This window comes from Homo sapiens, chromosome 14, assembly GCF_000001405.40.
Source record: "Homo sapiens chromosome 14, GRCh38.p14 Primary Assembly".
Classification (NCBI taxonomy): domain Eukaryota; kingdom Metazoa; phylum Chordata; class Mammalia; order Primates; family Hominidae; genus Homo; species Homo sapiens.
Window position 1 is genome coordinate 77,786,873 of NC_000014.9, and position 22,485 is coordinate 77,809,357.

A 22,485-nucleotide genomic window follows, 5' to 3' on the forward strand; every position below is an offset into this window, starting at 1 on the left:
TGACATATAGGACTGATTTTTACTATTCATTGACCCCTTCGAACATTTATTTGGCTGCTATGATTCTATGCTTAGAAAGATACATATATCTAAGCAAATACATACAATTTTGAGGAGTTCATGATCCCTAGAAAGCCTCCCAGGGGTCAACAAACCAGAACTGGCTGGGCGCAGTGGCTCATGCCTATAATGAGTACTCCTGAGGTGGGAGGATCACTGGAGCCTAGGAGTTCAAGACCAGCCTAGACAACATTGGGAGATTCCATTTCTACAAAAAGAAAATTATCTGGGTGTGGTGATGCTGGCCTGTAGTGCCAGTTACTTGGGAGGCTGAGGCTGGAGGACCTCCTGAGCCTGGAAGGTCGAGGCTGCAGTGAGCCATGATTATGTCACTGCACTCCAGCCAGGGAAACAGTGAGACTCTGTTTCAAAAAAGAAACCCCAAAACAAACAAAAACCCAACAGAATCCTGCTCTAAGAACCTATAGTTAAAAAAGCAGCAGTGTAGGCTGGGCACGGTGGCTCATGCCTGTAATCTCAGCACTTTGGGAGGCCGAGGTGGGCAGATCACTTGAGGCCAGGAGTTCAAGACCAGCCTGGCGAAACACTGTCTCTACTAAAAAATACAAAAATTAGCTGAGTGTGGTGATGCACGCCGGTAATCCTAGCTACTCTGGAGGCTGAGGCACAAGAATCAATTGAACTCAGGAGGTGGAGGTTGCAGTGAACTGAGATTGCGCCACTGCATTCCAGCACTCCAGCCTGGGTAATGAGAGACTCCGTCTTAAAACAAAACAAAACAAAACAAAACAAAACAAAACCAAGCCTGTAATCATGGCTGAGTAATAAAAAAGGTTTTGGCTGGGCGCGGTGGCTCATGCCTGTAATCCCAGCACTTTGGGAGGCTGAGGCAGCAGCAGATCACGTGGTCAGGAGTTTGAGACCAGCCTGACCAACATGGTGAAACCCCGTCTCTACTAAAAATACAAAAATTAGCTGGATGTGGTGGTGGGTGCCTGTAAGCCCAGCTGCTCAGGAGGCTGAGGCAGGAGAATTGCTTGAATCTGGGAGGCGGAGGCTGCAGTGAGCCAAGATTGTGCCACTGCACTCCAGCCTGGGTGACAGAGCGAGACTCCATCTCAAAAAAAAAAAAAAAAAAAAAAAAAAAAAGCTTTGACCAATGCAAGATCAGTGTGTGCTAGAGTGGCTAGAAGAAAGTCACAGAGTTCGGCCGGGCATGGTGGCTCATGCCCCTAATCCCAGCACTTTGGGAGGCCGAGATGGGTGGATCACAAGGTCAGGAGATCGAGACCATCCTGGCTAACACGGTGAAACCCCGTCTCTACTAAAAATACAAAAAAAAATTAGCTGGGCGGGGTGGTGGGTGCCTGTAGTCCCAGCTACTCAGGAGGCTGAGGCAGGAGAATGGCGTGAACCCGGGAGGTGGAGCTTGCAGTGAGCCGAGATCGCGCCACTGCGCTCCAGCCTGGGTGACAGAGCAAGACTCCGTCTCAAAAAGAAAAAAAAAAAGAAAGTCACAGAGTTGACCTTAAAGGCTGGGCAAGATTTGGAGTGCGCAGTAGACAGAAGGGAGCAGGGGTAGGGCCAGCAAAGGAGCAAGGAGGCAGACAGCATGGAATAGGTGAGGGGCCAGCTGGAAGGAGGTCATGTTCATGGCAAGTCTCGGTTCGGACTTCACCTGATAGATTGACCAGGGTTTCTCCACAGTGATACTGTTGACATTTGGAACTGGACAGTTCTTTGTTGTGAAGGCCAGTTCTGTGCATTGTAAGATGTCCAACAACACACTTGACCTCTGCCCACTAGATGCCAGTAGCATCTCCCAAGTCATGACAATCACAAATGTCTCCAGACATTGCCAAAGATCCCCTGGGGGACAAAGATCACCCTATTTGAGTATGACTGTCACAGCATATTTGAGCTTGGCAATGTTTTCCAAAGTTTAGTCATTCAGGTATCACCTTCACGAATTTTGCCAGATCTTGGTGCCTCCTTCTTGGCTATCTCCTGTATTTATTTATTTATTTAGGGACAGAGGCTGAGGCAGGAGAATCGCTTGAGCCCAGGAGGCAGAGGTTGCAGTGAGCCGAGATCAGGCCACTGCACTTTCAGCCTGGGTGACAGAATGAGACTCCATCTCCAAAAAAAAAAAAAAAAAAAAAAAGTAAGGATTTACTTCTCCTCAGATGTTGGCAAAAAAGGTGGAGGCCAAAGACAATTGGCCTCTTCCTCCTACAGAGAGGCCAACTCATTCCCTGTGCCATCATCATGTTAGTAGCTCTCGGGGCAGATTGCAAGACCCCTCCTCTTTCAGGATTGAATTCCCCCTTGGCATGTGTCACATCTTCATTTGCCTTTCTTTTCTGATGAGAGGGTCATCACCACTTCCTGATCTCCTTTCTTGGCAACAGAAGGGTGATGTGAGATTTAATTTCTCAAAAAAACTAAAAAAGATGCCAAGATCCCCAGGATCCGTCCCACGTGGGCCAAGATCTTCTTTGGGTGCAGAGGGTCAGTGCAGACAAAGGCACTTGGATCGCTTGCGATGGTTCCTCTCTCTCTAATTATAGAAAGTATTTAGCTATTATTCCCTAATTGCTCACTGCAGTTGGGTTTGAGCATTTTTTTTTTTTTCTGACAAAAGGCTGGTTTCTGATGAGTTGTTCTTTTCTTTCCGCCTTGGTTCACTGCCATACCAGTGCCTGGCTCTTCCACTGGAAAACTGCAGGAGGTGGTATGGTATTTCTGGGGAAGCCACTTTACCTCATCCAATTGCTTTCATGGCTTCCCAGTTGCCTAATAGGAAGGGAATTAACATTTACTGGGCATCTATTTAGTATGTGCCAGGCACTGTGCTAAGTGCTCACGTAGGTTGTCTTATTCAATCCTTGCAGCAAACTTCAGAGGCAGATATAATTATTCCGAATTTATAGATGAAGAATCTAAGGTGAAGGTAGTCTCAGTCAGTATGTGGCTGAGTCAGAATTCAAACCCAGGTCTTTGTGTGTGAGTCCTTTTTTTTTTTTTTTTTGAGACATGGTCTCACTCTGTCACTCAGGCTGGAGTGCCGCGGTGCAATCTTGGCTCACTGCAGCTTCAACCTCCTGGGCTCAAACAATTCTCCTGCCTCAGCCTCCCAAGTAGCTGGGACTACAGGTGTGTGCCACCACACATGGTTAATCTTGTTTTATTTTTTAATGAGATGGGCTCTCACCATGTTGCCCAGGCTGGTCTTGAACTTCTGGGCTCAAGCAATTCTCCTGCTGGAGTCAGTCTGGGCACAGTGGCTGAGGCTTGTAATCCCTTCCCAAAATGCTGGGATTGTGAGCTACTGTGCCCAGACTGACTCCATGTTTTCCTCTCTCAAAAGTTTTTCTAGACTTCTGGCTGATAAAACATTGGTGTTGGAGACTCCCGCTCTCTTGCCCTAAAAGTGCTTATTTCTAGGTCCTCTGCTAGTGGTAGGGCTTGGTGGGGATGCCTATAGGACGCTTAAAGGAGCTCTAGGTTTCCTGTTTTGGCTCATGACACATGAAGGAATTTCCAGTGTCATGGTAGCAAGGACGAGGAGGAAAGCCATCGCTCCTGGGGCTGTAGCAGTAAGGATCCTATGGGAAACAGATGGCACATTCAGGGGTTTACATGCAGAACAGAATATTCAATGAATGGACTACTTAGCAGAGTTATGGGCAGTTAAAGGAACCAACAAGCAATGGGGAAGCTACCGGGTACTGGCAGCAGCAGGAAGCCATCACCACCCCTAGGTTTAAAGGGACATGGTGTGAGAATGGTGTTCCTGAAGCCCATTGACAGCTGGGGGTATGGCAGAAGCATCCAGACAGGAGCTGTGACAGGAGGGAAACCCAGCCACTGCCCGAACACCAGCAGGAAGGGCAGCAGCAGCTGGTGTGTGAGTGTGTATATATACAGACATCCAGGTCTCTCCCTCCTCTGCCTTCCCATCTGCTCATGCTACCACTGGCCAAACCCAGCTAGAAGACAGAGAGTAGGGGAGCCTAGAGATGCAGCTCTTGCAGGTCAGCCTCCTGAGGCACAGGGCAGGAAGGAAGGGTGGAGAGAGCACCTGGGAAGATACAGAGAGTGTTCAGCACAGGGGCTGACTCACCTGTGCCATCCACAGCAGTGTCTTTTTTTTTTTTGAGATAGAGTCTCTCTCTGTTGCCCAAGCTGGAGTGCGGTGATGCAATCTCAGCTCACTGAAATCTTTGCCTCCCGGGTTCAAGCGATTCTTCTCCCTCAGCCTCCCGAATAGCTGGGACTACATAAGTGCACCACCACACCCAGCTAATTTTTGTATTTTTAGTAGAGACGGGGTTTTGCTATGTTGCCCAGGCTGGTCTCAAACTCCTGGCCTCAAGTGATCCACCCTCCTTGGCCTCCCAAAGTGCTAAGATTACAAATGTGAGTCACCACACCTGGCCCAGTGTCATTTTTTTGGTGAGTGGAGACATACTCTATAGGAAGTGGGACATTGTTTACAGGCTCAAAGAATCATGGAATGTGAGAGTGGGAAGTGCCCTTAGAGCTCTACCTGTAAAATTCCTTTACTTTATAAAGAGGATCCTGAGGCCCAGGAAGGGGAAAGGACTGGTCCAAGGTCAGTTGCTAATTCGTGGCATGGGCAGGACTGGAAGCCAGCTTGCCTAACTTCCAGTCCATACTGCTTCTTAGTTTTGAGCTGTAGTCAATTAATGGTTGGTAATAAAGGATTACTACTGAGCCACTTGACCTATTTCCTGTTAAGACCTCAGGGTATAGTTTACTTTGGCCCCAGACATTTGCCTCAAATGATTCTTTCTCTAAATATATCTATGATCAGAGTAGGCTGCCCATTTCAGAGTGTGGGCTCTGGAGTCAGGCTCATGGGGCTGAATCCCAGCCCTATCCTTACAGAATGGTCTTGGACAAGTTATTTAACCCTCCACCTTATTTTGCTCAACTGTAAAATGAGGATAATAATGATGTCTATCTCATATCTCATGAGGATTATATAAGAAGATATATTTAAAGCACTTAGACTAGCATCTGCCAATAATGAGTGCATGATAAATAACAGTATACATGTGGGGTGTGTGTGTATATATATATATGATGTAAACAAATATGTGTGTGTGTGTATGTATATGCATGTATGTGTATATATATGCATGTATGTGTGTGTGTGTGTGTGTATATATATATATATTCTACCCCCCAAATTAGTTTAGAATTCTGGTTAAGAATTCACATGGTTTGGCTGGGTGTGGTGGCTCATGTCTGTAATCCCAGCACTTTGGGAGGCTAAGGTGAGCAGATCACTTGAGGTCAGGAGTTTGAGACTAGCCTGGCCAACATGGTGAAATCCTGTCTCCACTAAAAGTACAAAAATTAGCCAGGTGTGATGGTATGTGCCTGTAGTCCCAGCTACTTGGGAGGCTGAGGCAGGAGAAACGCTTGAACCTGGGAAGTGGAGGTTGCAGTGAGCCGACATTGCACACTGCACTCCAGCCTGGATGACAAAGCGCGACTCCATCTCAAAAAAAAAAAAAAAAAGAATTCATGTGGTTGGCTGGGCAAGGTGGCTTATGCCTGTAATCCCAGCACTTAGGGAGGCCAAGGCAGGTGGATTGCTTGAGCTCGGGAGTTTGAGACCCACCTGGGAAACTTGATGAAATACCATCTCTATCAAAAATACAAAAAAAAAAAAATTAGCTGGGCATTGTGGTGTGTGTATGTGGTCCTAGCTACTTGGGAGGCTGAGGTGGGAGGATCTCTTGAGCCCGGGAGGTGGAGGTTGCAGTGAACCAAGATTGTGCCATTGCACTACTCCAGCCTGGGCGACAGAGACCACATCTAAAAAAAAAAAAAAAAAAAAGAATTCACGTGGCTGTGATTGAGGTCAGGCATGGTGGTGTGTGCCTATAGTCCCAGCTACTTGGGAGGCTGAGGCAGGAGAAACGCTTGAACCTGGGAGGTGGAGGTTGCAGTGAGCCGACATCACACACTGCACTCCAGCCTGGATGACAAAGCGAGACTCCATCTCATGCCTGCACTTTGGGAGGCTGAGTAGGGAGGATGGCTTGAGCACAGGGGTTCGAGATCAGTCTAGGCAACATAGGGAGACACTGTCTTTGCAAAAAAATACAAAAATTATCTGGGCATGATGCACCACGCCTGTAGTCCCAGCTACTTGGGAGGCTGAGGTGGGAGGATTACTTGAGCCTGGGAGGTCAAGGCTGTAGTGAGTGCGGCATGATTGCGCCACTGCATTCTAGCCTGGGCAATACAACAAGACCCTGTCTCAAAAAACCAACCAACCAACCATACTTTTTACCCTTATTGAAATATATCAGTTGTTCTTTTAAACATTTTTTTCTTTTAATTTTTTTTTTAGTAGAGACAAGGTCTCACCTATGTTGCCCAGGCTGGTCTCAAACTCCTAAGCTCAAGCTAACCTTCTACCTCTGCCTCCCAAAGTGCTGGGATTACAGGCATGAGCCATGGCTCCTGGCCTTATCAGCTGTTTTTCACATGGAATTTTTCCTTTCCCTATAACAGATAAGAACTCTGAAGGGCTTAGGTGATGTGCCTTTTCTGGGATTCCTCAGCAGTCAGAGGCAGATAAATCCTTGTTCTCAGGCTGGGCACTGTGGCTCACACCTGTAATCCCAGCACTTTGAGAGGCTGAGGCGGGCGGATCACCTGAGGTCAGGAGTTTGAGACCAGCCTGGCTAACATGGTGAAACCCAGTCTCGACTAAAATACAAAAATTAGCCAGGCATGGTGGTGCATGCCTGTAATCCCAGTTACTCGGGAGGCTGAGGCAGGGGAATTACTTGAACTTGGGAGGCGGAAGTTGCAGTGAGCCGAGTTTGTGCCGATGCACTCCAGCCTGGGCAACAGAGTGAGACTCCATCTCCAAAAAAAAAAAAGAAAATACAAGTCTGACTCTTCACATCATAAGCTGGCTGTGGTGGCTCATGTCTGTAATCCCAGCACTTTGGGAGGCTAAAGCGGATGGATCATTTGAGGCCAGGAGTTTGAGACCAGCCTGGCCAACATGGCGAAACCCTGTCTCTACTAAAAATACAAAAAATCAGGCGGGCGTGGTGGCAGGTGTCTGTGATCCCAGCTACTTGAGAGGCTGAGGCAGGAGAATCGCTTGAACCGGGGAGGCAGAGGTTGCAGTGAGCCGAGATGGTGCCGTTGCACTCCAGCCTGGGTGACAGAATGAGACTCGGTCTCAAAAACAACAATAACAACAACAACAACAACAACAAAGCAAGTTTGAGTCTTCACATTAAGCCTGTACCACTGTTGTAACATGGGAAGACATGAAGAAGAAATGATCTGAGCTTTAATCATTTATATTCGGACATAAGGTCCACCAAGATAAAGAACATCTGTACCAAACTGCCCCCTCCCCACAAAATTCAAGTATTGATAAGTGATTTTAAATAAATTTTATAAATAAAACAGTGTAAGGAGGTAGAGTGTGTCTCAGGGAATGTGGGGGTGAGTGGGGAGATAGGGGTAATTGGGGATGACCTCTCTGGAGAGTAACATTAGCAGAGAACAAATTGCCAGGATGGAGCAGACCATTGAAGATATGGGGGAATAGCAAGTGTAACGGCTGCCCAGATAGCAGCCAGCTTGGCAGATTGAGAACAGAAAGGAAGCTGATGCGGTTGGAGTGGAGTGAGCCAGGGAAGAGAAGGGTGGGAAATGAGGCTGGAGAGAGGGAGTGGAGCCAGCCTCTGGGGAGCCAGGAGGGTCAGGCTGAAGGGGTGGGTTGCCCCTCCACACCTGTGGGTGTTTCTCGTAAGGTGGAACGAGAGACTTGGAAAAGAAAAAGACACAGAGACAAAGTATAGAGAAAGAAATAAGGGGACCCTGGGGACCAGCGTTCAGCATATGGAGGATCCCGCCAGCCTCTGAGTTTTCTTAGTATTTATTGATCATTCGTGGGTGTTTCTCCGAGAGGGGGATGTGTCAGGGTCACAAGACAATAGTGGGGAGAGGGTCAGCAGACAAACACGTGAACAAAGGTCTTTGCATCATAGACAAGGTAAAGGATTAAGTGCTGTGCTTTTAGATATGCATACACATAAACATCTCAATGCTTTACAAAGCAGTATTGCTGCCCGCATGTCCCACCTCCAGCCCTAAGGCGCTTTTCCCCTATCTCAGTAGATGGAACGTACAATCGGGTTTTATACCGAGACATTCCATTGCCCAGGGACGGGCAGGAGACAGATGCCTTCCTCTTGTCTCAACTGCAAGAGGCATGCCTTCCTCTTATACTAATCCTCCTCAGCACAGACCCTTTACAGGAGTTGGGCTGGGGGACGGTCAGGTCTTTCCCTTCCCACGAGGCCATATTTCAGACTATCACATGGGGAGAAAACTTGGACAATACCTGGCTTTCCTAGGCAGAGGTCCCTGCGGCCTTCCGCAGTTTTTGTGTCCCTGGGTACTTGAGATTAGGGAGTGGTGATGACTCTTAAGGAGCATGCTGCCTTCAAGCATCTGTTTAACAAAGCACATCTTGCACCGCCCTTAATCCATTTAACCCTGAGTTTGACACAGCACATGTTTCAGAGAGCACGGGGTTAGGGGTAAGGTCACAGAATCTCAAGGCAGAAGAATTTTTCTTAGTACATAACAAAATGGAGTCTCCCATGTCTATTTCTTTCTACACAGACACAGTAACAATCTGATCTCTCTTGCTTTTCCCCACATCAGGCAAAGAGTTTGGATTTTCTTCTCAGTGTCATGACACTCCTCTGAACAGCAACATTCAGCTTCCAAAGCACTTGCACCATTGCACTTGATCCTCACAAGCCCTTTGAGGTAGATAGGACTGACAATAGTATTAACTCCATTTTATCAAGACAGAAACTAAAGCTCTGCCAAAATTAGAAAACCTGCTGTGAGTCACCCAGTTCAAATAAGATTCTTTGACTCTAAATCGGGGTTTTTAACCTCAGCTGTGCATTGAAATCCTACAGGGAGCTCTACAAAATACCTATGACTCAGTCCCATTCCCAGTAGTTGAAGGGGTGCTAGTGCCAGCTATGGCCCAGGAAGACTTTTAAAGCTCTCCAGGTGATTTTTTTTTTTAGACTGGGTTTTTCTCTGTCACCCAGGCTGGAATGCGGTGGTGGTGCAATCATGCCTCACTGTACCCTTGACCTTCTGGGCTCAAGTTATCTTCCCACGTGAGCCTCCTGAGTAGTTGGGATTTTAGGCATGAGCCACTGTGCCTGGCCCTTATTATTATTTTATTTTTAATTTATTATTATTTTTTGAGATGGAGTCTTGCTCTGTCACCCAGGCTGGAGTGCAGTGACATGATCTCGGCTCACTGCAACCTCTGCCTCCTAGGTTCAAGCGAGTATCCTGCCTTAGCCTCTAGAGCAGCTGGGACTACAGGCGTGTGACACCACGCCCAGCTAAGTTTTGTATTTTTAGTAGAGACGGGGTTTCACCATGTTGGCCAGGCTGGGCTGGAATTCCTGACCTCAAGTGATCTGCCTGCCTTGGCCTCCCTAAGTGCTGGGATTACAGGTGTGAGCCACTGCACCTGGCCTAATGCTCCCTTTTTTCTGTTCCTAAGCCACTTTGTTCATACCTCAATCTTAACACTTCTCACATTATTTGGAAGTTATCAATCTTCTTATCTTAATGCCTATACATTGCAAACTTTAGATGGTGGGGGCTGTGTTATTTAACTCTATACTACTGCTACCTCTGTGCTGCAATTATCTTTTTTTTTCTTTTTTAGTGACCGGGTTTAGCTCTCTCTCTGTTGCCCAGCTGGAGTGCAGTGGCAAGACTCATCAAAGCTCACTGCAGCCTTGAACTCCTGGGCTCAAGATCCTCCCTCCCTGGCCTCCAGAGTAGCTGGGACTACAGGCATGCGCCACCATGCCCAGCTAATTTTTAATTTTTCTGTAATCTCATAGGGTCTGGCTATGTTGCTCAGGCTGGTCTCTAACTCCCAGCTTCAAGCGATTCTCCTGCCTTGGCCTCCCAAACTGTCGTGGTTACAGGGATAAGCCACTGTGCTCAGTCTATGCTGTCTTTCAATAAAGACAAGTGCTTAAATTTAATGTAGTTTAAATTTATCAAAGTTTTATTTACAGTTTGTGATTATGGCACTTAATAAACCCTACCCTGAGATCATAAGGATGTTTTCTTTTCTTGTAAAAGTTATAATTTTGGGGAACGATAGTAAGAAGAAAAAAAAAGTTGTAATTTTAAAATGCTTTAATTTCCCCTGTAAGTCTTTAACCTACCTTGAATTAGTTTTTGCATAGGGGATCCAACAGGTAACTGGTTGTTCCAGCCCATGTACTGAATACTCTATCTTCCCTCACTGAACTATAATTCCAGCCATACCTCATTTCATAGATGCCTGCATGTTTGGGCTCTGTAGGTGGTTCCATTTCCCCCTCTGCCTTTCCCTATTCCAATATCACATGGTCTTAATTTGTATAGCTTTATAATACATGTTGACATGGAAGGGTGCGTCCTTGAAACACATTTTTCTTCTTCAAGAATGTTTTGGCTATGCTTTGCCTTAAAGTGGTGGTTTTTTTTTGTTTTTTGTATTTTTTTTTTTTTTTGAGACAAAGTCTCGCTCTGTCACCCAGGCTGGAATTCAGTGGTATGATCTTGGCTCACTGCAACATTTGTCTCCCGGGTTCAAGGATTCTCTTGCCACAGCCTTCTGAGTAGCTGGGATTACAGGTGTGCACCACCATGCCTGGCTAATTTTTGTATTTTAGTAGAGATGGGGTTTTACCATGTTGGCCAGGCTGGTGATGAACTCCTGACCTCAACTGATCCACCTGCCTTAGCCTCCCAACGTGCTGGGATTACAGGCACGAGCCACTGCGCTGCCCTTTGTTTTTTCATACACACTTTTGATTAGTTTGTGAAGGTCCAGAAAAAATTATGTTGGAAATTTGATTGGAACTGCATTGGACTGATAGATTAATTCCCCCATGAAAAAAATAGCTCAAGAGATGTTTATAGAATAAACAAACGTCTGAGGCCTGGCGTGGTGGCTCACACCTGTAATCCCAGCACTTTGGGAGGCCAAGGCCAGAGGATGGCTTAGCACAGAAATTCGAGACCAGCCTGGGCAATATAGTGAGACCACACCCCCCAGCTTTTCTTGAGAAAAAATTTAAAAAATTTAGCCAGGCGTGGCAGTATGTGCTTGTAGTCCCAGCTACTCCACAGACTGAGGCAGGAGGGTACCTTGAGGACAGGAAGTTGAGGCTACAGTGATGGAGCCTCTACACTCCAGCTTGGGCAACACAGCCAGACCCTGTCTCAAAAAAAAAAAGAGAAATGTTTTTGATACATGTCTTCAAAGTGCATCTTATAAGTCAACATTTGATAATGGAGATCAGTGAATGAATGAATAAGGGCCAAAGATAACTAAGATTAGCTAGCATATTATATTTATTTATTTATTTATTTTGAGACGAGTCTTGCTCTGTTGCCCAGGCTGGAGTGCAGTGGCCCAATCTCAGCTCACTGCAACCTCCACCTCCTGGGTTCAAGCAATTCTCCCACCTCAGCCTCCCGAGTAGTTGGGATAACAGGTGCCCGCCACTATGCTGGGCTAATTTTTCTTTTTCTTTTTTTTCTTTTTGGAGACAGAGTCTCACTCTGTTGCCTAGGCTGGAGTGCAGTGGCGTGATCTCAGCTCACTGCAACCTCCGCCTCCCGGGTTCAAGCGATTCTCCTGCCTCAGCTTCCTGAGTAGCTGAAATTCCAGACGTGCACCACCACACCAGGCTAATTTTTGTATTTTTAGCAGAGACAGATTTCACTATGTTGGCCAGGCTGGTCTCAAATTCCCGGCCTCAAGTGGTCCGCCCACCTTGGCCTCCCAAGGTGCTGGGATTACAGGAATGAGCCACCGCACCCGGCTTAATTTTTCTATTTTTAGTAGAAATGGGGTTTCACTATGTCGGCCTGGCTGGTCTCCAACCCCTAGCCTCAGGTGATCTGCCCGCCTCAGCCTCCCAAAGTGCTGGGATTACAGGTGTGAGCTACTGCGTCCTGCCCAGCCAGCATTATTATTATTATTTTTGAGACGGAGTTTCGCTGTTGTTGCCTAGGCTGGAGTGCAATGGCGTGACCTCGGCTCACCGCAACTTCTGCCTCCCGGGTTTCTAGTGCCTCAGCCTCCTGAGTAGCTGGGATTACAGGCATGCACCACTAGGCCTGGCTAATTTTTGCTATTATTAGTAGGGACGGGGTTTCTCCATGTTGGTCAGGTTGGTCTCAAACTCCCGACCTCAGGTGATCTGCTAGCCTTGGCCTGCTGGGATTACAGGCGTGAGCCACCGCCCCGCCAGCATACATCAATTGTCAGTAAATTTCTTCTTCGCCTACTAGTTCCAATATCTTATTTAAAATCTATGGCCCGGTGAGGTGGCTCAGGCTTGTAATCCCAGCACTTTGGGAAGTCAAGGCGGGTGGATTGCCTGAGTTCAGGAGTTCAAGACCAGCCTGGGCAAAATGGCGAAACCCCGTCACTCCTAAAAATACAAAAAATTAGCAGGGCGTGGTAGCACACTCCTGTAATCCCAGCTACTCAGGAGGCTGAGGCAGGAGAATCACTTGAACCCGGGAGGCGGAGGTTGCAGTGAGGCGAGATGGGCCACTGCACTCCAGCTTGGGCGACAGAGTGAGACTCTGTCTCAAAATGAATGAATGAATGAATGAATGAATGAATAAAATCTACGAGGTCGGGCGCAGTGGCTCACTCTTGTAATCCCAGCACTTTGGGCGGGCGGATCATTTGAGGTCAGGAGTTTGAGACCGGCTTGGCCAACATGGTGAAACCCCATCTCTAAAAAAAATACAAAAATTAGCTGTACTGCTTGGGCGACAGAGCGAGACTCAGTCTCAAAAAAAAAAAATCTACAAATCCACTTCATCTTTCATTAAACACGAACCTGGGACGTAGTTAGAATGTCTTGAAGAAAATATTTCAGTAATATTCCAAGTCCGTCGCCCTGGCAAAGCAACAAGGCCACCTGACGGAGTAAGCCCGAGACCCCTGTGCCTCCACAGTACTGCCCGCGGGATCGCGGCGTGGGGAACCAGGAACTACAAGTCCCGGCAGGCCGCGCGCGCCTCGGCTTCACTAAGCGCAGTCAGGTGGCTGTCCCCGCACGGTTCCCAGCTAATTCCCCGCTACCGGGTTGCGGCCGGAAGCCGGGCGCCGCGGCTCTGCTTCCCTCGGGGTGAGTAGGGGCAGCTCGCCGGAGGCCGGCGCAGAGCTCGGGCCGACCAGCCTGGCAGGGCCGCACCGCGCCTGGAGCGCGAGGGAACCGGCATGGACACGCCGGGAGTCGGCCTCTGCTCCGGTTGTGCAGCCGCCCTGGGCGCCGGGAGGGACAGCCCCATGACCTTGTCACCTGGGCCCGGCGCGCGGCCACGTGGCTCGGGTGACTCGCATTGCCCCGCCCCCCTGCAGTGACTTCTCCAGTTTGGCACACCAGTGGGCTTTCATGTGACCTGTCCACTTCAGTGGCACAGTCTTGCAGGCACCCGAGTGGGCAGAGCTGGAGGAGGGCCGGAGGTGGCTCACCCAGACGCCTTCACCCCCTGGTGGCCCTGTGAGTTCCGAGGCAGAAGCAGCTGGAGCTGGAGCGTGGTCTGGGCAAGAGCAGGGGGCGATGCCCATATCCTGGCCCTCCACCCGGTCTTGCGAACGTGCCCCAGACCGCTGCTTATCTCCAGCATCTTGCAGGGCCCTGGGCTTCCAGATCACACAGTAGATATGTGCTAACAGCAGCCAGTGTGTGTGGAGAGCAACCTTTAGATAAGACACCTAGAACAGCCCTCTCCCAGGGTTAAGTGGCATTTACTTTCTACTAACAAGAAAGTCATTCAACAAGTATTTATTGTTTACCTCCATGATACTTGGCACTTAGTAGGTGCTCAAGAAATATTTGCAGAGTTGAAGTGAATTAGACTTTATCTGTGGCTTCATATGTTTTATTTAATAATTTTCTTGGGGCTGGATGTGGTGGCTGATGCCTGTAATCCCAGCACTTTGGGAGGCCAAGATGGGAGGATTGCTTGAGGGCAGGAGTTCAACACCAGGCTGGGCAACATAGTGAGACTCCCGTCTGTATTAAAAGAAAAAAAGGAAAATAAATAAAATAATTTTCTTACTACAGTGGTTCTCAAACTTTAGCATGCACCAGAGTCACCTGGAGAGCTAGTAACAACACACAGTACTGGACCCCATCCCCAAAGTTTCTGATTCTGTAAGTCTGGTATGAGGACCAAGAATTGGCGTTTCTAACATGCACCCAAGTGATGCAGTTGCTGTTGGTCTGGGGACCATACGTTGAGTACCACTGCTTTATAGGAAAAAAAATCCTGTGAACTTAAAGCACTATCTCTTCACACCTGGTTACGGGTCTTTCTGTCTTTATTTGCCAGTTTTACTTTTTTGGTGATTGTAAATATGTGCATATTACTTTGTACACTGTTAACTCCCTCCATATTAATTTATATACAGATTTTAATGTAGTCTATACTTGTCATTTTTCCTGGTTACATCATATTCTACCTTATTGGGTCATTCTTTGCTTGGCCATTTCTCAACTGGCCTCAGGGATGTGCGATTTGATCTGTACTAGAAGAGTGTGCATATTCTTACTTTCTGCTATGCAGTCATTTTCTTGTCAGACAAAGGACCTGTAAGAATATTAGTTGGGGCCGGGTGCGGTGGCTCACACCTGTAATCCCAGCACTTTGGGAGGCTGAGGTGGGCGAATCACTTGAGGTCAGGCGTTCAATGCCAGCCTGGCCAACATGGTGAAACCCCATCTCTACCAAAAATACAAAAAAATTACCTGGGCGTAGTGGTGTGTGCCTGTAGTCCCAGCTACTTGGGAGGCTGAGGAGGAGAACAGCTTGAACCCGGGAGACGGAGGCTGCAGTGAGCCGAGATCGTGTCACTGCACTCCAGCCTGGGCGACTGAGCAAGACTCCGTCTAAAAAAAAAAAATTTAGTTGGGTCAGCCATCCATTTCTTCACCAGGGTAACTCACTAAATATGCCTCCTGGGTTAAGGTTTCCATGTTGCAGGGACTCCAGTGGCCTATTTCAGGGCCCAGCAAGCTGCTTGTTCTTGTGCACTTTTTGCTCTCTTGGTGGGAGCAGTCATACATGGATTCAAGTTCTGCCTCCATCACTTACCAGCTCCTTGGCCAAGTTTTCTACCTTTTCTAAAACACCACTTCCTTATCCATAGATTGAAGCTCTAATAGCATGCACCTCGGAATCTGGTTGTGTGAGTTAATGAGCTAATAAGTGCTTGGTACTGTAGCTCTCCCGTTGGAAGCTCACTCTCTTCTCTTACCTGCTGCTTGCTCTTTGCATCTGGCTTTGCCCTATTCTCCCTCAGTCTGCCTTTCCTAGGATGGACTGAATGGAGGATTTCTATTCCTTGCCTGGGTGAGAATTATTTTTGTTGTCTATTCTGGGACCTTGGCATCAGTCAGGGATTCCTTTTTTTATTTTTTGAGACAGAGTGTTGCTCTGTCGCCCAGGCTGGAGTGCAGTGGCACGATCTTGGCTCACTGCAGCCTCTGCCTCTCGGGTTCCAGCAATTCTCTTGCTTCAGCCTCCCGGGATTCCTTTATTTAATCAACATTGATTTAAGGACCTTGAGTGCTTAGGCATCAAACACTAGGAAAGGGAGTTTGATTAAAATTTGGTTCCTAGCCGGGCGCGGTGGCTCACGCCTGTAATCCCAGCACTTTGGGAAGCCAAGGCGGGCGGATCACGAGGTCAGGAGATCGAGACCATCCTGGCTAACATGGTGAAACACCGTCTCTACTAAAAAAAATACAAAAAAATTAGCTGGGCGTGGTGCCGGGTGCCTGTAGTCCCAGCTACTCAGGAGGCTGAGGCAGGAGAATGGCTGGAACCCGGGAGGCGGAGCTTGCAGTGAGCCGAGATTGCGCCACTGCACTCCAGCCTGGGCGACAGAATGAGACTTCATCTCAAAATAAATAAATAAATACAATTTGGTTCCTGGACTACATTACTATCTTAGGGAGGGCAGACTGTAAACCTGCTCAGGCCAACTTCACACAGTCCCTTGCTATTGACTTGGTGTCTTTGGCATCTTTCCAGACTTGAGGCATGATGGTATCATTCACTTTGTGTGCTTTCTATCCATATCAGGGACCAGGTTCTTCTGAAGACCCTATCACTCTCTCCAAGGGTATTTTTGGGTCTTTTTTCAGTTTTGGGGGCAGACTAGAAGAAATAATGCTCATTGGTATAATAGTCTCTCTAGGAAATGGGAGGAGGCCATGGTCACTTTTCATGGAACTAGAGACCTAAGTGCCTTTTCTCTGTGGTAATTCTCATTTGTGCACCAAACAGGGAAAGGTGATTCCAGGCCTTTAGTCCTGAAATGTAGCATAGGGAGAGGGCTGCCAATGGATGGAAACTGAAAAGGCCTAGCTAGTCACTGACTCCGATGAACAGTAAGTGCTTGGTTTCCCATTTAGTTCTGTCAAGGGGACGGACATTTCGTGTGACCATCAGCTTCCCATTTGTACGTCCCAGACTCTCCTGTTGCTTCATTTTCATAACCTACTGGGGTGTTTCCTGTGGTCCAGCGAGATGGATTCCATTCTTGTCATTGATTTGACAATAAAACAGCCATGTCAGCTTTGCAGCTCTCCTAAACATTTGATAGACTGAAATGGCTTGTTTCTAGTGGGAGGCATTGGTTGATCTTGTGACATCCTGTTGATTTTGGGGGCTCCAAACAGTGCCTCCCACATGCCTGGCACTGGGTCAGAAATCATAGTCTCTGCCCACAGCAACAGTTGCATTTACTTGAGAACAGCAGTAAGGACTTTAGTGAACAGGAGTCCAGGTGTTCCTATCAAAGACGTTACCTGTCATAAAGAGAAGGGCTGAATACTTGGAATGAGTGGGAAGGCCCTGCTCAAGCTCTTAGCCATTTTACTAGCTGAGCCACCTGGGACAAATCTCTCACCCTCTCTGCTCCTTGGTTTCCTCATTTATACCTGGGGATGGTAATAATATTTGTCTCTCCTCACTGGGTTGTGTGGAATATCTAATGAGTTGAGTGTAAAGGGCTCTATTTTAATATAAAGGCTAGTTCTTGCTAGTGTTATTATCTAGTGATTAGGTTTAAGGGTTTTGGTGGCCTCAGACCCCCTGTAAGGTATGTACTGTTAGGAGAGGTGACTCAGGTGAAAGTCAAAAAGGCTAGTAAGCAGAACAGGGCAGGTGATTCATTAACAAAGGGTTTAATAAGGAAAAATGTTTTCAATTGACAGACATATTTCACGCCTGACAGGGTCTTTTACAATACCCCGAGGGAAGCAACTCATTTGCATGTTAAAGACTCAGGGACACCTTATGGAAAACTCTAGCTCCAGTCTATTTAGATGCCATTCGGCTCCTGTATCATCTATTTTATGTATTTCAATTTCCATCTCTTTTATCACTGAGGACATTTGCACGAAAACAGGGTTTCGAGAGTTGTGTCTGCTTCGCTGTTACTTCCCACCCAGAGGTGGTCTCAAGGGTAGGGGTGGCCTCATTGCATACAGGGGACAGGTGTGGAGGTTGGTGTAACAGGAAGAGGGGGTTCAGGGGAGGCAGGGGCTGGGAGGTGGTGTTGGGGTGGGATGGGGTGTTGGTGATGAATTGTCAGCCCAGGGCATGTGGTTTTCACCTGGGGACCTGCATTGTTCCTTGCTCTGCACAGGTCTCAGGCCTCACTGGCTGTAGTTTGTCCATTCATTGATTCATTCGTTCAGTAAATGCTTTTGGAGCGCCCCCTATGTGCTAGGCCAGGGTTTGGCAAATGACAGCCTGAGGTTCAATTCTGGCCACACCTATTACTTTATACATCCTCTGTGTTTGCCTTGTGCCACAATGCAGAGTTGAGTAGATGCGTCAGAGATGTTATAGAATGCAAAGCCAAGGCTGGGCACGGTGGCTCACGCTTGTCATCCCAGCACTTTGGGAGGCTGGGGTAGGCGGATCACCTGAGGTTGGGAGTTTGAGACCAGCCTGACCAACATGGAGAAACCCTGTCTCTACTAAAAATACAAAATTAGCCGGACGTGGTGGCGCATGCCTGCAATCCCAGCTACTTGGGAGGCTGAGGCAGGAGAATCGCTTGAACCCTGGAGGCGGAGGTTGTGGTGAGCCGAGATTGCACCACTGCACTCCAGCCTGGGCAACAAGAGTGAGACTCTGTCTCATTTAAAAAAAAAAAAAAAAAAAGAGTCATTTTTGGCTTTGCATTCTTTTTTTTTTTTTTTTTTTTTTTTTTTGAGACAGAGTCTTGCCCTGTTGCCCAGGCTGGAGTGTAGTGGCACGATCTTGGCTCACCGCAACCTCCGCCACCTGGGTTCAAGTGATTCTCCTGCCTCAGCCTCCCGAGTAACTGGGATTACAGGCACCTGCCACCACACTTGGCTAATTTTTGTATTTTTAGTAGAGACAGGGCTTCACCACATTGGCCAGGCTGGTTTCAAACCCCTAACCTCAAGTGATCCACCTGCCTCGGCCTCCTAAAGTGTTGGGATTACAGGCGTGAGCCACTGTGCTGGCCCAAAAATTACTCTTATATGGCTCTTTATAGAAAAATATTTGTCAACCTCTGTTCTAGACAGAGAACAGCAAGTGCAAAAGCTCTGGGAGGTCAGAATATGCCTGGCATGTTTGAGGAATGGCACAGAGGCCAGTGCGTTTGGAGTAGAACGAGTGAAGGGGAAAGTGGTAGGGCATGAGACCCTAGAGGGAATTGAGAGTTAGACCATGTAAGAACTTGTCCAGGGGGCTCAGTCTGAAAAAAATCTCAAAAAACCTCCCAATCTTAGGTTCTACAATAGTGATGTTTATATATTCTATGGGAACAATTAGGAAAGTCACAAATCTTGTGACCTCTGATCACGTGACTCCTGAGCAGTAAGGGATTATAGAAACTATGCTACATTTTAGCAGAGTTCTGGTTCCTCCCATAATCCTATTCTTACGGCTTTTTTTTTTTTTTTTTTTTTTTAAAGTGATGAGGTCTTGTTGCTGGGTGCGGTGGCTCACATCTGTAATCCCAGCACTCTGGGAGGCTGAGGTGGGCGGATTGCTCGAGGTCAGGAGTTTGAGAGATGAGGTCTCTCTATGTTGCCCCGGCTGGTCTGGACTCCTGAGCTCAAGCGGTCTTCCCACCTCAGCCTCCCAAAGTGTTGGGATTACAGGTGTGAGCACTCGCTGCACCTGGCCTTGTTAGTTTTACAAAGGTGGTTTTAGGTCTCTGAGCAAGAGGGATTAGTTTTATGGAGGGATGGTTATCATCCTTGCTTTCAAATTAAACTATAAACTATATTCCTCCCAAAGTTAGCTTGGTCTATACCCAGGAGTGAGCAAGGACAGGTTGGAAGTCAGAAGCAAGATGGAGTCAACTACGGCAAATTTTCTTACTCTCATAATTTTGTGAAGGTGGTTTCAATTATCAGTGGTATTGTTGTATTTGCTTTTAATTTGGTCTTGAGGTCTCTCTCCAGAGAGATCTAGCTCTGCCTTGCCTGGAATCCAAGGGCTTTGGTCATGGACTTTTTCAGTGTGCCTTTCGTGGAGTTCTTCTTTATCCTGCTGGACAGCCTAATGCCTGTGTCTGACTTGTGCCTAGGTGTCTCTCCCACAGTAAACTTGTTTAAACTGGCAGACGCCCTGTGGCTCATCTGACCTGTGTCCAGGTTATTCCCACCAAGATAGCCACTCTTTTTTTAGACAGAGTATCGCTTTGTCACCCAGGCTGGAGTGCAGTGGCATGGTCCCAGCTCACTGCAACCTCCTTCTCCTGGGTTCAAGTGATTCTTGTGCCTCAGCCTCCTGAGTAGCTGGGACTACAGGTGCATGCCATCACACCCAGCTAATTTTTGTATTTTTAGGAGAGATGGTGTTTCACCATGTTGCCTGAGCTGGTCTTGAACTCCTGACCTCAAATGATCCAGCCGTCTCAGCCTCCCAAAGCGTTGGGATTACAGGCATGAGCCACTGCGCCCGGCCTAAGATAGCCACTCTCTCTCTCTCTTTTTTTTTTTTTTTTTGGAGACAGAGTCTTTTTTTTTTTTTTTTTTTGAGACGGAGTCTCGCTCTGTCGCCCAGGCTGGAGTGCAGTGGCGGGATCTCGGCTCACTGCAAGCTCCGCCTCCCGGGTCCACGCCATTCTCCTGCCTCAGCCTCCCAAGTAGCTGGGACTACAGGCGCCCGCCACCACGCCCGGTTAATTTTTTGTATTTTTAGTAGAGACGGGGTTTCACCATGTTAGCCGGGATGGTCTCGATCTCCTGACCTCGTGATCCGCCCGCCTCGGCCTCCCAAAGTGCTGGGACTACAGGCGTGAGCCACCGCGCCCGGCCTGGAGACAGAGTCTTACTCTGTTGCCCAGGTTGGTGTGATCTTGGTTCACTGCAACCTCCACCTCCCAGGTTCAAGTGATTCTCCTGCCTCAGCCTCCTAAGTAGCTGGGATTACAGCCGTGCGCCACCACGCCCAGCTAATTTTTTTTTTTTTTTTTTGAGATGGAGTTTCGCCCTTGTTGCCCAGGCTGGAGTGTGGTGGCATGATCTTGGCTCACTGCAATCTCCGCCTCTGGGGTTCAGGCAGTTCTCCTGCCTCAGCCTCCCGAGTAGCTGGGATTACAGGCATGTGCCACCACGCCCGGCTAATTTTGTATTTTTAGTAGAGATGGGGTTTCTCCATGTTGGTCAGGCTGGTCTTGAACTCCCGATCTCAGGTGATCCACCTACCTCGGCTTCCCAAAGTGCTGGGATTATAGGCGTGAACCACCATGCCCGGCAATTTTTGTATTTTTAGTAGAGATGAGGTTTTCCCATGTTGGCCAGTCTGGTCTTGAACTCCTGACCTCAAGTGATCCACCCGTCTCAGCCTCTCAAAGTGCTGGGATTACAGGCATGAGCCACCACTCCTGGCCTGAGAGTCACTCTCTAAGAGAGACCTGACCAAGACAGGAATTGGCTTCAGGTGTGTTGGTCAAGTGAAACACAGACACAGGCAGCACAACAAAACATACGAAATAACAGAAGCCTTTCCTGACAGATCCACTGGAGAAAAGGGTGCCCATGAGGGTGGATAGGAAGCCTGGAGACAGCATGGAGTTCAACCAGCAGGTGGGTGGGAGCGAGGAGAGAGAGATCAAGAGAGGAGACCTGTGCACCAAAGCCTTTTTTGGGGTCAAGAGTGTTAAGCCAGGCAGATTTCTCATGGGGAGTTCTAATTGGTGGGTTTACAATAAGCAGGCATGAGTTCCGTGGAGTCACACAGTGACTGAGGGGTGGTCACTGTGGTATATCTGCACAGTCCATGGTGGGTGTGCAGGTTGATGGGGTGATTAAAGTAGGCTGTAGGTAGCTGTCCCATAGTGGGGTGGTCACCAGGAGGCATTGTCTAAGGCAGATTTCTGGATCAATCACATTGAGGAACTGGGAGGAGGTAGAGAACTGAAACTGTCAAGGGTTTAACATGCCTCTGGCCTTAGAAAGTTAAAACTATGTTCAAAATGGATGCCAAGGCAACATAAAATTATAGACATCCACTACATTTATTTATTTATTAATTTATTTTGAGACAGGGTTTCGTTCTTGTTGCCCAGGCTGGAGTGCAATGGCGTGATCTCAGCTCACTGCAACCTCTGCCTCCTGGGTTCAAGTGATTCTCCTGCCTAAGCCTCCCGAGTAGCTGGGATTACAGGCGCCCACTACCACGCCTGGTTAATTTTTGTATTTTTAGTAGAGACGGAGTTTCACCATGCTGGCCAGGCTTGTCTTGAACTCCTGACCTCAGGTGATCCACCCGCCTTGGCCTCCCAAAGTGTTGGGATTACAGGCGTGAGCCACTGCACCTGGCCCACTGCAGTTATTTATTCATTTATTTGTTAACAGAGTCTTCCTTTTGGATCTAGTGGAGAGGGCAGATATAAGACCCAATCATTATCCATAAAAGCAGTATATAATTAGACTAGTGAGGAATGAATGAGGAATTCTGAGTGATTGGCTCACAAGAAGCTTCATGGAAGGATAATGAGGGATTGAGTGTGGAGGTATATTTTGGGAGAAAAAGGCTGGAAAGGCAAGTTGGGGTAAGAATTTGGTGGGCCTTGAGTGTCTTGCAAGGAGTTTGGGCTTTGTGGTAGGTGGAGAGGTGATAAGAATGGTATGAATACACTTGAGGATGACCAAGATAACTTGAGTGGCAGAGTAAAGATTAGATGGGATGTGGAGAAGTCAGTTTGGAATGGAGAATGGTTGAGTAGTTCAGGCAAGATATGATGGCCTACTTCCCCTGTTTATGTTTTATTTTTTAATACAAAAAATTTTTTGAGATGGAGTT

At 47.8% G+C, this 22,485-nt stretch overlaps 1 protein-coding gene across 11 annotated transcripts in view, besides 9 other annotated features; it reads left to right on the forward strand.

The window, feature by feature from the left end:
* Positions 3,839–4,755: an enhancer, noted in NCBI's record as "H3K27ac hESC enhancer chr14:78257054-78257970 (GRCh37/hg19 assembly coordinates)". NCBI's record gives its function as "activates a minimal SCP1, AML or CMV promoter by ChIP-STARR-seq in primed H9 embryonic stem cells {active_cell/tissue: H9 hESC(primed)}" and the evidence as "EXISTENCE:reporter gene assay evidence [ECO:0000049][PMID:30033119]".
* Positions 9,348–9,397: a silencer, noted in NCBI's record as "silent region_5979". NCBI's record gives its function as "represses an Ori minimal core promoter by ATAC-STARR-seq in GM12878 lymphoblastoid cells {active_cell/tissue: GM12878}" and the evidence as "EXISTENCE:reporter gene assay evidence [ECO:0000049][PMID:35858748]".
* Positions 9,408–9,457: a silencer, noted in NCBI's record as "silent region_5980". NCBI's record gives its function as "represses an Ori minimal core promoter by ATAC-STARR-seq in GM12878 lymphoblastoid cells {active_cell/tissue: GM12878}" and the evidence as "EXISTENCE:reporter gene assay evidence [ECO:0000049][PMID:35858748]".
* Positions 12,562–13,100: an enhancer, noted in NCBI's record as "H3K27ac hESC enhancer chr14:78265777-78266315 (GRCh37/hg19 assembly coordinates)". NCBI's record gives its function as "activates a minimal SCP1, AML or CMV promoter by ChIP-STARR-seq in primed H9 embryonic stem cells {active_cell/tissue: H9 hESC(primed)}" and the evidence as "EXISTENCE:reporter gene assay evidence [ECO:0000049][PMID:30033119]".
* Positions 13,101–13,639: an enhancer, noted in NCBI's record as "H3K27ac-H3K4me1 hESC enhancer chr14:78266316-78266854 (GRCh37/hg19 assembly coordinates)". NCBI's record gives its function as "activates a minimal SCP1, AML or CMV promoter by ChIP-STARR-seq in primed H9 embryonic stem cells {active_cell/tissue: H9 hESC(primed)}" and the evidence as "EXISTENCE:reporter gene assay evidence [ECO:0000049][PMID:30033119]".
* Positions 13,163–13,522: a silencer, noted in NCBI's record as "silent region_5981". NCBI's record gives its function as "represses an Ori minimal core promoter by ATAC-STARR-seq in GM12878 lymphoblastoid cells {active_cell/tissue: GM12878}" and the evidence as "EXISTENCE:reporter gene assay evidence [ECO:0000049][PMID:35858748]".
* ADCK1 (aarF domain containing kinase 1) overlaps positions 13,237–22,485 on the forward strand; it is a 134,906-nt gene continuing 125,657 nt past the window's right edge. For all 11 annotated transcript variants that reach the window (NR_158989.2, NR_158987.2, NR_158988.2 and 8 more), the window contains exon 1: positions 13,237–13,298. The gene's annotated coding sequence lies outside the window, so the exon portion shown is untranslated. The remainder of the gene's footprint in view (positions 13,299–22,485) is intronic.
* Positions 13,713–13,762: an enhancer, noted in NCBI's record as "active region_8812". NCBI's record gives its function as "activates an Ori minimal core promoter by ATAC-STARR-seq in GM12878 lymphoblastoid cells {active_cell/tissue: GM12878}" and the evidence as "EXISTENCE:reporter gene assay evidence [ECO:0000049][PMID:35858748]".
* Positions 13,773–13,852: an enhancer, noted in NCBI's record as "active region_8813". NCBI's record gives its function as "activates an Ori minimal core promoter by ATAC-STARR-seq in GM12878 lymphoblastoid cells {active_cell/tissue: GM12878}" and the evidence as "EXISTENCE:reporter gene assay evidence [ECO:0000049][PMID:35858748]".
* Positions 15,234–16,073: an enhancer, noted in NCBI's record as "H3K27ac hESC enhancer chr14:78268449-78269288 (GRCh37/hg19 assembly coordinates)". NCBI's record gives its function as "activates a minimal SCP1, AML or CMV promoter by ChIP-STARR-seq in naive H9 embryonic stem cells {active_cell/tissue: H9 hESC(naive)}" and the evidence as "EXISTENCE:reporter gene assay evidence [ECO:0000049][PMID:30033119]".